Source organism: Homo sapiens, chromosome 8, assembly GCF_000001405.40.
Source record: "Homo sapiens chromosome 8, GRCh38.p14 Primary Assembly".
In the NCBI taxonomy this organism is placed as follows: domain Eukaryota; kingdom Metazoa; phylum Chordata; class Mammalia; order Primates; family Hominidae; genus Homo; species Homo sapiens.
In genome coordinates this window covers 97,056,648-97,070,070 of record NC_000008.11, presented here as the reverse complement: position 1 = coordinate 97,070,070, position 13,423 = coordinate 97,056,648, and the positions used below count along the sequence as shown (strand labels likewise).

Sequence of the window (13,423 nt, the reverse complement as noted above, 5' to 3'; positions counted from 1 at the left end):
AAATCTTTTTTCCCCAAAGCCTTATATTAATGTTGACAGTTATTCTGTCCATTATAGATATCATCTAGATGGGTAAAGGATATCATCTTTTCTCTCCCAAAGATGGCCGTATTATAAATTGATCCTTTTGTCTTCTATAATTAATGAAAGCAATGTTGAATTTTAATTCTATCTGTGTGATAGATATACAGTTCTATCAGTATTTTGGTAAATAGTATACATGGAATATTGGGGTCTAGTCATCATACAGTCACCTCAAATTATAGAAATTTAATAGGCCTAGAACATGGTAGGGACTCAATAAATGTTTATTGAATCCGTGAAAGAAAAAAAGAAAGAAAAAAGGATGGAGTTTAGAAATATTATTTAGCATTAATTTTTTAGAAGTTAGGTGAGCAGTTATTTAAATGATAACTTAATTAGTATTTAGAATCCTACCCTTAGCTTTAAGCTATAATTTGTCAGGCCTTCACAAATATAGGGTACACAACTGATATATTTTTACTTTTTTCTTTTTCAGACAAATTCATTTTCATCTTTTAGAAAAAAGATGAAGAACCCAAATATGGTTCTTCATCCTTTTCTTTTTTTTTTTTTTTTAGAGACAGATGGGGGTCTTGCTGTGTTGCCCAGGCTGATCTTAAACTCCTGGCCTCAAGCAATTCTCCCACCTTGCAGCCTCCCAAAGTGCTGGGATTACAGGGGTAAGCCACTGCACACAGTGAGGTACCTGAAATTTTCAATAGGTGACAAGAGTTATAACCAGTACCATTGTTTCTTCCAGGAATAGCCCAAATTTGAAATATCAAAGGATAACTCAAAAGTAATAAAAGGAAGACAGCAGTAATTTGGTTCTGTCTTCTAATGCTCTAAAGGAAATAAAACAGCATTCAAGGAAACATTTAGAGTCATCTAAATGAGCTACTGACTTTATGTAAACCTTTCTGATCTTTCAGAGTTAAAGAAGGGAGTAGAACAAAGAATGTGAGAAGATATAAGTAGTTATTTACAATAACAAACTCCTTTCTCCCAGGGGTAAATCACTGTGGAGCAGGAATGGACTGAAATCCTTTGCATAAGCAAGAGCTGAGTAAGATAAACATTTTAGACACTGCCGGAGATTTGGAGGCTTCTCAGCATTCCAGACCCCTCAGTGTTGTTGCATATTGTGAGAAAAGGGCCACCAGCCTTGAAGCCAAAATGGCCTGTTCTCAGGGTGACTCCTGCCCTAAGGGCAGTATAGTCTTGGGCAAGTCATTTAACCCTTATGAGTCTGTTTCTTCATCTGCAAAATAGGGATCATGATAATTGTACCTCCTTCATAGGATGGTTGTATGGATAAAACAGTGTCTGCAAAAAGCCTAGGTACTTCCTACACATTAGGAGTTCAACACATTTTAACTCTTATTAATTCTTTTTTGTTTGTTTGTTTGTTTTCAGATGGAGTTTCACTCTTGTAGCTCAGGCTGGAGTGCAGTGGCATGATCTCAGCTCACTGCAACTGCCGCCTCCTGGGTTCAAGCAATTCTCCTGCCTCAGCCTCCCAGTTAGCTGGGATTACAGGCTTGCACCACCACATCCGGCTAACTTTGTATTTTTTTAGTAGAGCTGGGGTTTCACCATGTTGGTCAGGCTGGTCTCGAACCCCTGACTTCAAGTGATTTACCCACCTCGGCCTCCCAAAATGCTGGGATTACAGGCATGAGCCACTGCACCCGGCCTCTTATTAATTCTTATACAACCATAATGGGCTCAGTCTCCCCACTCCATTCTATTAGGTAGAAATCAAATCTGACCTCATCTTAAACCATGGCAAAGACAGAAAATGCTTTCTTATTTTAGGTGAAAAGAATCAAATTAACCTGATCACTCCAAACAGAACCATTCTTATACAACACGTACATGTGAAGGAAAAAAGCTAGAGCCAAGTCTCAATGATCAAACACAACAAAAAAGAAATACCTGGGATGGGGAGGGACAAGTTTTTGTTCCCAATTCTGTCTTAGGTTTCAGCTCCTTACCTCACCTTGAACCACCCCCCGTCTGCACTCTCATTCACCCACAGTCTACCAGTCTTTTCCTCACAGCTACCACACAGCAGCTTATTCAGGGTTTCTCAATTTTTAAGAAGTTCTTGTTGAAATATTTCAGGCTCAGAAAAAATCTAGAATTTCATACAAATGATTCTATATAATTTAAAGGGCAGACTCTCTCCCCTACACTTAGATCATGTTTATCAATGACACATATGTAGATAGTATTGGATCTGTCCAGAGAAGTACAGCATTGTAAATGGAAATGTTGCTTTAAGAGATTTCAAAATATGTTAACATACACAGAACAAAGAACAAAGGAAAATAATTTTGGTCTTTCTATTAGAGTACAGAAAAGCTCCTTTTATTTTTAGTTATGAAAGATTATTATAAACCTTAAAACTTAAAATATGCCTTAAAAATCTGCAGTATTGCAAGAATAAGCTTTTTAAAAATCTTAAATCTATGTAGTATGTTACTATTGGTAAAATCTACTTTGCAGCCTGGAAAAAAAAATCTGGAGTGGAGTAGGTCCAGAGACACTGTTTTAGTACCTCTGAAATGTTTGTAGCCACAGAAATATTTCTGAATACAGCAATGTTAAAACTGTTCAAATGTTAGGCATCCTATGTGTATAGTACAAATACAGAACAATTTGCAGATGGATCCTTTAACTTTTTTGGATTATGGATATAATGGTGTTGAGGAAGCAACCTCGGGTCACAAACAATATCAGTAAACTTTTTCAATGGCCAGGCTTAGGTAACTTTGTGAAGTAGTATACATTTGTCTTCTTTAAGACTGTTCTAGAGGCCAGGCATGGTCGCTCATGCCTATAATCCCAGCATTTTGGGAAGCCAAGGCAGGCAGATCACTTGAGCCCAGGAGTTGGAGACCAGCCTGGGCAACATGGCGAAACTCTGTCTCTGTAAAAAATACAAAAGTTAGCCAGGCATGGTGGTGCACACTCATAATCCCAGCTACTCGGGAGGCTGAGACAGGAAGATTGCTTAAGGCCAGGAGGTGGAGGTTACAGTGAGCTGTGATCATGTCACTGCACTCCAGCCCAGGTGACAGAGTGAGACCCTGTCTAAAAAAAAAAAAAAAAAAAAAAAAAAAAAGACTGTTCCAGCTGTTCCAGCTTGTATTTCTGTAAGTAACCTCCTCATGTCCGCTCCCATTTCATAATTTCATCCCTGAACCCCAGGGACTTAGGACTTCTCTTCAGGATATTCACATGATAAATCACTGCCCAGGGTAAATTAGTTTATGCTCAACCTCTTGCACAGGAGTCTTTGCATTAAGGTAAAACATGATTAAAAGAAAGTACCCCACCCTCAAGGAATCTATCTCTAATGGTAAAATTTCAGATACCACAGTGTTTTAATAGGGAATTATTTGGATCAAGGAAGTTTTTCTAGCACAGGACTAGAACTAGAAGGATATTAGTAGTAATATTTGCCTTCTACTCTATTTCTCAAATTTTGGTTATGAGATCATTTGTGCTATAATCACCAAAGATACCTCCTTAAAAAACAAAACAAAACAATGGATTTTTAGGCCCAATTCCAGAATGACTAAATCAGAATCTCTGGGAGTGAGGAGCTTATAATTTAGAAAGAGTGGAGGGATACAGATGGGTAAACAAATACAAGGTGAGGACTATTATCCCAGTTTTAGAAATCATCAGATTATACCTTGAACAAAAGCTTAAGGTTTCCGTGGACAACCTGGCCTACTAGTATTCATTGTGCTCTATTAAAACAGAAATTTTATTTTAAATTGTTGGCAATATATAAGGAACACAACTTCATCTTTTGGTCTTACCAGGCACTCCAGCTTGGATCCAAAAGTTGATGTCTGTCCCTTCTCCATGGCTCAGGACCTGAGTGATATTGAGGGGCTGCAGCAGGCTCATAACCTCCTCCATGATGGCCCTGGCCTTTTCACTGCCAGTGAATTGCAGCCCAGTGGGTAAGAAGGTTCCTGCGTCAGACTCCATCACCAGACTGTAGTTGGAAATATTTACCTAAACACAAGAGAAAATTGTTTGGTTCTTATCTGTTGCTTCAGTGCTTTCTCCTTGGGAACTATCAAACAACAATTACCAAATACTTTACCTCCTTACGGCTGTGCCAAAACACATGTTGCTGTGCCTGACTTAAGGTCTGCTCTGCATATTATCTAACCATTCTGAGATGCACAATTACTCAGCCTAGGATTTGCCAAACTCAAGAGTTGGCTTGAAAGGATTAAAAAAATATAATGAAGGGAAATATAAAGCCCCATATTAAAGATGTTCAGTTATTTCTACTAGCAATAATATTCTTTCAACTAATTTTCTTAAGTGTTCACTGTGTTCCAGTATACAATTCCTCCTATGTGGCAGGGATCTCCAGATAGTATTAGCCATGCTCAGACAAAAGAAGGTATGCTCTGTGAACTTATTTCTTTGCACCTCTTTCCTCTAAATGGATATTCTATCTTATCTTAATTGTGAGTTCTGCCGAAGCTTAAAGGCATCAAGCTGACAGGTTTGTCTTGGGGTTCTGATTTTGTTGTTGTTCCATCTGTTGAATCTCCAGGGAGGGAGGTAATAGAACAAGGCATGAAACACTTCTCTCCCTGGTGTAAAACCACAGCACTGTTAATTCCAGGCAACGCTGCCAGGCCACTAGTTCATAAACTCTTTCCAAATAAAGTCTGGTAAGAAAGCACACAGTTATTTCATGTAGCCAATATTGTCACGGCACAAATTTAGAATATAATAGGCTCTTGACAGGTTGCACAGTTAAATTGCTACCCAGCCCGAAAACTTGCAACTTTAAGATCCTTCAAACTGGCCAGCTCATCTGTTTCCCAGGAGCCAACCACATCTTCAAGACCTACCAACTGCCACCTTGGTTGACTTATTCCCAAGCTATCCTTGGACAAACACTGCTACTCATTCCTCATTACTCACCTAGTAAAAAATCAATAATAACATTTGTACATTGCGTCCAGAGAGCTTTCACATTTGCAATCTCCTTTGGTGTTCTTTGGCAACTCATAAAATAGACAAAGCAGTATTATTAATGTTGCTGTTTTATAGGAAAGGATCTGACAATCAGGGAGGTCAAGCGATTTGCTCAATGTCATACAGCTGGCAAATGGTAGCGCTGGCTCTGAAACCCTCTGCTTTCCAAGACTCCACACTACCATCACTAGCATGGCACTGGAGGGTAAGCAATACTTGTTCTGCATTTAGAATGATTTTCCACCTACATAACAATTTGGGGATTGCATAGTATTTTTTTCTAAAACAGATTCCATTTTACAATGATTGCCTAACCTTTTGCTTTGGAAGTATATTGTAGTTATAAGGGCAAGAGCAGTGATAGTTTCTAAAGAAAGATGTTGCCGGCATTTACTGAATGCAGGGCCCTGGGACACCAATATTTTTTGTTATTGTTAATGATGAGAAGGTTAACGATGCAGAACTCTGTTCATATTTCTGCTCTCACTTCTAAGGGACTTGTCTTCATGGTGATTTTCAGTGAAAGACCCAGGGCATTTATAATAAAAAATGCCACCTCAGCTTTCAGCTGAGGATACTGCATTATGGTAGCATCATTAGAGTTAATAATATGCAAAATATTTGCATTAATGTCTTACATTCAGGGCTCATTTAACTAGTACACTGATGCTAAGTCAGCAGGTTGACATGTAATTTGGCAGTCCTAAGCCTCTTCCCTTCTATGCCCTGCCACACCCACAACCCTAAACCCTTTCCCTCTCCTGCAAAAAGGAGAAAAGAACATTCACAATATATCTTGCAAATGAAAACAGAATTGAGTCATCTTGTTTGTGAGGGTTTCCATATTGCAGGCAGATCCCATTCTTCCAACAAGAAAATCAGGCAAAGTGCTTCTAGTCATGTACTGTGTAGGTTAAAATTGGAGCTACATGATAGGAAGAATCAATATCATTAAAATGGTCATACTGCCCAAAGCAATTTACAGATTCAATGCTCTTCCTATTAAACTACCAATGACATTCTTCACAGAACTAGAAAAACTATTTTAAATTCATATGGAACCCCAAAATAGCCCAAATAGCCAAGGCAATCCTAAGCAAGAAGAACAAAGCTGGAGGCATCACGTTACCCAACTTCAAATTATACTACAGGATTACGGTAATCAAAACAGCATGGTATTGGTACAAAAATAGACACAAGACCAATGGAACAGAGTAGGGAGCCCAGAAATAAGGCTGAACACCTACAAATATCTGATCTTTGACAAAGCTGACAAAAAAAAAGCAATGGGGAAACGGTTCCCCATTTAATAAAGGATGATGGGATAACTGACTAGCCACATGCAGAAGTTGAAACTTGACCCCTTCTTTACACCATACAAAAATCAACTAAAGATTGATTAAAGACTTAAATGTGAAGCCCAAAACTATAAAAACCCAGAAGACAACCTAGGCATACCATTCTGGACATAGGAACTAGCAAAGTTTTCATGACAAAGATGCCAAAAGCAATCGCAACAAAAGCAAAAGTTGACAGATGGAACCTAATTAAGAGTTTCTGTACAGCAAAAGAAACTATCAACAGAGTAAACAGACAACCTGCAGAACAGGAGAAAAGTTTTGCAAGCTATGCATCTGACAAAGGTCTAATATACAGCATCTATAAGGAACTTAAACAAATTTACAAGAGAAAAACAACCCCATTAAAAAGTGGGCAAAGGACATGAACAGAGGCTTCTCAAAAGAAGACATACGTGTGGCCAACAAGCATATGAAAAAAAGCTCAATATTACTGACCATTAGAGAAATGCAAATCAAAACCACAATGAGATACCATCTCACACCAGTCAGAATGGCAACTATTAAAAACTAAAAAAAGTACATGCTGGTGAGGTTGAGGAGAAAAGGGAACACTTATACAATGTTGATGGGAGTGTAAATTAGTTCAACCATTGTGGAAAGCAGTGTGGCGACTCCTCAAAGACCTAGAGACAGAATTACCATTCAACCCAGCAAGCCCATTACTGGGTATATACCAGTTAAGGGGAAATAGAAATCATTCTATATTATAAAGACACATGCATGTGTATGTTTACTGCAGCACTATTCACAATAACAGAGACATGGAATCAACCTAAATGCTCATCAGTGATAGACTGGATAAAGGAAATGTGGTACATATATACCAGGAAATACTATGCAACCACAAAAATAATGAGATCATGTCCTTTGCAGGGACATGGATGGAGCTGGAGGCCATTATCCTTAGCAAACTAAGTCAGAAATGGAAAACCAAATACCACATGTTCTCACTTATAAGTGGGAGTTAAATGGTGAGAACACATGGACAGATAGAGAGGAACAACACACACTGGAACCTACCAGAGGGTGGATGGTGGAAGGAGGGAGAAGATCAGGAAAAATAACTAATGGGTACTAGGCTTAACACCTGGGAGAGAAAATAATCTGTACAACAAACTCTCAGGAGGCAAGTTTCCCTATGTAACAAACCTGCACATGTACCCCTGAACTTAAAATAGAAGTTTTTAAAAAGTGGAGCTAGTTAGCAGTTTGGCTGTTAGACCCAACATTAATGAGCAGCCTGATGAGTTGGACACTGCCCTGGGCTCAGTCTGTTGTATTCCTGATTCAGCAACTGATACACTGGGCTACCAAGGCAGGTGAATGGCCTCTCCCTCTGTCCCCAAGTCATGTTACTTTGGTCCTTGGCTTCTGCATCTGTAGGTTGGGACAAAAGCTTGAATAATGAGCCTGTCCATATGAAGCTTCAAGCACCTTTAAAGAAAAGGCCTTTAAACCAAAGCAAAAATGGTTGCATGAATTGAAAACCAGGGCTTCTAATAATGTGTTCATTAAGTGTTTCCTGGTCCTCTTTAACTACAAATGAACAGATGTCCTAGGGACAGGGGACTTCACAGTTTGTGAATGCCATTGTGCAATGTCACAGGATGTTGACAGGAACATAGAGAATAGTGTAAATAAAGAAGGTTTCAAAGGTGCCCTAGGCTATATATGTGGCAGCCATTTTAGCAGAGAGATCAAGAGTGTGGGCTTCTGAATGATCCAGACTGGGTTTGACCCTCACATCAACCAATCTTTAGCTGTAATGGGGATGATAATGGTACCCAGCTCATGGAATTGTCAAAAACAGTACATTGTAAAGGCTAGGGCATAACTAGCACTTGGTAAACAGTAGCATTACTGTTGTTACTGTTCTTGGCACTGAGCATCAACACTTCTCAGATTTTCAAGGATGGTCTCAATATAAGCCCTTCTGTTAGCTGATTACAACGATGCTAGGCAGCATTTCTGTGATGTTTCCTACGAGCCAGACACTATGTGTAACGTCTTACAGCTCATCCCATGAGTGTGCATGATCATTCTTTAAGTGCTCTTATATTTCTCATCTGACAGATGAAGTAACTGAGGTTTAGTCAGGTTGACTAACTTTCCCACGGTTACCTAGCTAGTTAAGTGGTGCAGCCAGAATTCCAACCCAGAGGAATTGCTTCTACCTCCTAAGCAGTGCTCTCAACCTCTCCACTGCTGGGTCTCCTGAAAGTCACTTCTGTCAGGCCACAAGTCCTCACTTTTAATTCAGAAATACAAAGACCGTAGTTAAATGTATACATTAAAAACTTTTTTTCATGATCATAACACAAGGTATACTTGGACAGAAGTTGTTGTTCCTGCTAAAAAAGTAATTTGTTTAAGCCAAGAAAGAAATGAAAACAAAAACAAAAATCTCTTGCTCCACAATTTGCTTCCAACTATAAATAAAAAGCCTAAAATAATAAAACATCTTTTCAAGCCAAATAAGACAGGATGTGTAGATATCAGTAAACCAGAATTCTGGCATAGGTATAGAAATGTTTGATTTCTATTCGTGTAGAACTTTTTAAGTTGCTGCTTACATGATGGCAGCGTTTTATTGTTTTCTATTTATATATAAACATCTCCATATGTTTTCAATAAAGAACTAAGAAAACAAACTACCCACCGTCCATGACACTGCTTTTTCTCTACATTTATGGAGTCATTATCTAATTGTTAGCACATGGTGAAGGAGTTGGGACAATGTCTCTGCACAAAGAAACTGGAATGAATAGCTGTCACTGGGATGTTAGAACTGCTGCTTCTCAGGAATATATTGTCACGAACATCCTTATTCCTTAGTGTGCTATGTGTGGGGACACACTCAGTATAGATTTGAAAAGCTGATTATAGCTAGTGACAGGGAGCAGAGTAATGCTCATTTCACCCAACTCATTTTAGCACATGTAACAAGATATTCATCCTCTTGTTTATAGGGTGTAGGAAGAAACCAACTTCTAGAGGCTGAATGCTTTATTGCTGAGATAACCAGCACTGATTGAGACAAGCTGAGGCACATAGAAGAGGAGGCTGAGCAGCTCAATGATAAACTCAGATATTATCTGTAAACCCCCTATTTTGTTCTCTAAATAAAGAGAAGCTGCTCATTATTAGGAGCCATGAAAACTGTCATTCATTACCATGTAATATACATAATGCAATGTAGAGGAATGCTCCAAGGTAACCTCTTATGGTCAGATCATAGGATTAGTTAATATCTGCTCAGGGTTGAGGATTCATAATTGTCTTGTGCTACAATCACATGCTGTAACACTTCTGTTCCTTTTTTTAAGGGTCAGGCTACTCTGCCAAAGAACAATTTGGTTACCATTAGCATTCTTTGGGTGCAACGCAAGATTCAAAAGAAAAGTGTTTAAAATACATATTGCATGTTTTAAAATACTTCCTAATATAAACACAAGGATGATGTTTTTGTTTTTTGCTTTTATAAAATTCTAGGCTACTTTTCAGAAACATAGACCCAAGTTCAATAATAGCTCCTTTCTCTCCAAATTTGGCTTCTTTGTTTAAAAGTTTTTTATCTTCTCATAACCTAGAAAAAATAACTTATGAGACCACCATGGAAAAATAAATGAAATAAACGTATTTTCTCATGTTTCTCAACATGTCTTTGAATTTGACTTAAAGTGACATTGAAGTCTCAAGATCAAGTGGAAAGAAAAGAGACTCCTAACTATTTGAATTAATCATGTAGCCTCCTCAATTTATTCTTCAAAGAAGTAAACTCCACACTGACACAGGGCAATCAATTTTAGTAACTCTTTCTTGCCCTGTAAATGTAAATATTTTACAGATAATGGTGGTGATGCTGTTTGGTCAGGTGGTAGGCTCAAAACAAGTTCTCAAAAGCAAATCATCTTACAATGTGTGTGCTGAGTTGCTGCAATCCTGTTTTGCAGTTCTGCCAGTGACCCTGGAATTCCCAGTTTCTGTGGATGAAGGTGATTTCTTTACAGAGCTTCAGCTCAAACAACTAACATGATTGGATGATAGGTAAAGAAGGTTCCTCTGCTGTGCAAGGTAGAAAGACAGCCTTTATTTTCTGGTCAGATCTACCCTGAAGTTCAGACTTTTCCTTTTGACCTTTACTTTCAGTCTCCAGCACTCAGTTTTGAACAGCTTTGGGCACCCAAGGGAGAGCCAGGAAAGGGATGATAACATAAATTATTTTATTTGATAGCTCAACTGGCTGCAGCTTGGGGAAATGGGCAGTCTTGGGTAAGTTACATTAGTACCAAAATTGCAGACAGAGCGGGAAACCTAACACATGCAGGAGCCTCTGTGGATCTAACCATCTTGTCACTGCACTCCTACTATGGTTTAGCCACCATCGTACCTGGAGACAGGAACAGAATGAGTAGCCACTGGAGATCCCTTTCCAGACCTATCATTCTGTGTGTGTGCACAGAGGTATTCTGTTCTGAGACAAACCTATGTTTTCAGGCAGTCCAATGTTTGCAATGTCATTTGAAGCACTCTAGATCTTAGTGAATTCTCCTCTTGTGCTTGTTAAGGTCCGTGGATAACTCTTAAGCTTACCAAAAACACACGAACCCTGCATAAATGACACTACGGTCATAACAGTGAGCCAGAAGGCTAAAAATGTGGCATAAACATTAGCTAAAAAGAGTAATTTTATTTGTATTATATAGCAAATCTGACTGCATTTGATATGCTTTTTTAAAAAATGCAATATCCAGGATATTCGGTAGATATGACTTAAAAAAAGGCTTACATAGCAAATTGATATCTATTTCAGCTTCTAATTTTATTCTTTCATGTGGAAGCAATATAATAATAATAGAAGTAGTGGGACTCAAGAGCTCACAATTAAATTTTGATTCCTTTAATGCTATGTATTGGTCAAGTGTTTCATGCTACTGGTTTCACGTTCATTTCAGTATGCAGTTGTAGAAGAGAAAGTGCCAACATAGCTGGGTTTGTAGGAGCAGACTTCCCTGCCTTTTTCATTCTCTATCCCTCTCAGTCCCCTCTTCTAACAGGTTATCTGTCAGTCTTTCCTGTTATACCCACCACACTACTATTCTTCTCCAGGTTCAAAAGGTAACAACTAAATTGCCTGCCTGAAGAACCTTTCCTTCATTTGACCATTTTCCCTTAACACTGTGACATGCTAAATAAACCAACACATAAAGATGTGTTTCTTGTTTTTGATGGCATTGTTGTTCCAGCCAAGATAGTGCTTTCTGGTTGACCTCTAATGTCCTTCTCTTGGTTGGGAAGACTGCAGCAGCTTCTTCAAGTCCCTTTCTAAGGTTATAATGGACCGCTAAGTTCATCTACCCATAAGTAGACAGGTTATTTTTTAAAAAAATAGTACTCATCATTTTCTTGTCCTGCAAAAATAGACTACGCTATACTCTAGAACCCAAATATTTACTCAATCCTAGGGTGTATAGGGTGTATCATATTAAAACCCAATTTGTGGGTTTTTCTTTCTCTAGCCTACAGACAAGCACTTTCAGCATTTCTGGATTGTGACAGTATCCCCATATGCCTTATTTGATCAAGTACTCTTTACAAATATTAGTAAAGATGCTAACCACAACTTTAGAAATAATTATATTTTCTTAGGCGGGCCTTTCCTTCTTCTTTTTCAAAAGAAAATTAGCAGGTTTGAAACCTTATGAAAAACAAAAGTACCAAAATATGAACTTCAGGGCTCCTTGGTCTGCTCAAGTGACTTCATGCCCTACTTCTGCCCAAGCCTTCTGTGACTACCGTCCATACCCCTCCCTAATTTGTTGGCCTATTGCACTTCATTCAATTTTTTTTAAATGCCTGCCTTGCTCCTGCAAAAATTTAAGGCTCTCTACAAGAAAATGTCCAAATACTGTACTAAAAGAGTAGGTAAATGTGCTAGAACCAAGAAAATGCCATGAACACAGGAATCACGTGTGTGGATCTCTGCCATATCTCTAGATTAAATAACAGAACTAAGCACATAGTAGGTGAACAATAAATGTTTAAGGCAAAGGAAAAGTCACAATTTGGAACATTTTGACACAGCCTTAAAAGCAACTTGAGGATATAATTTAGCTCTAGCTTGTGGCTGCCAATGTGAGAGCGTGATTGATGTATTACTGAGCTCTCATTATCTAGGAAGAGAAAGTGCACCACCATCTCCTTGAAAAAAGCAATATTTTTTTCTAGCGCTCAGTTCTAAGGGGAGTAATTACATGGCTCTTTATATGAGGAACGCTGGACAAAATAATGGACACAGTCTCCAATAACAGTTTTACAAAAGATGCAGAAACACTTTTCCTAACACTATTTCTTACATATTGATCCTCAATTAAAGCCAAAAGCAAAATATTAAGTCACATTTCAGTAAATGTGTTTTTTCAGGAAGCAAAATGTATTTATTCAACAGTTATTTTGACGTAAACTTGAGTGATAGGGTGACTATACATTTTTGTTTGCCCTAGGAAGTCCCAGTTTACATCCCCTGTCTTGGTGTTAATTAACAGAGCCTCCTTTCTCTTGCAGACATTTCCTGGTTTTAATAATAAATCATATTTCCAACCTACATATGAGGGTATCTATATATGAAGATGACTAAGATAGGGTTGCTTTCCTAAAGGAGGGGAGAGTTTACCAGCAGAGGCAATAACTGGCTAATACATTAAATGTGATGAGTTCTATGAATATGTACAAAGAAGGGAAAGCAACTACTGAAAAATGTTGGCAAAAGCTTGATAAAAGAGGTGATGTTTGGCCTCAGCAAATACCCTAGACTGAAAGTGTTCCCATGAGAGCAGGGATCTTGTTAGTTCATCAGCATATTCTCAGAACCTAGCTAACGGGCACTTGAAAATACTTGTCAAATGAACAGATGACTTTATTCTAAGCATCCAACTAATGTCCAGAATGTAGCTTTCCAAGAGAGGATCAGAGCTTAGGCAATCTCTAAAAGGATAAATATAAGCATGTTCTGT

General features: G+C 38.3%; 1 protein-coding gene and 1 long non-coding RNA gene across 2 annotated transcripts in view; one reads left to right on the top strand and one right to left on the bottom strand.

Moving 5' to 3' along the window:
- Positions 1-13,423, bottom strand: part of CPQ (carboxypeptidase Q) — a 498,260-nt gene that overhangs the window by 73,431 nt on the left and 411,406 nt on the right. Inside the window, exon 7 of the mRNA NM_016134.4 lies at positions 3,861-4,062. Within this exon, the coding sequence (NP_057218.1) occupies positions 3,861-4,062 (202 nt within the window). The remainder of the gene's footprint in view (positions 1-3,860; positions 4,063-13,423) is intronic.
- LOC101927066 (uncharacterized) overlaps positions 1-13,423 on the top strand; it is a 494,634-nt gene that overhangs the window by 376,427 nt on the left and 104,784 nt on the right. The gene's annotated exons all lie outside the window — the stretch shown is intronic.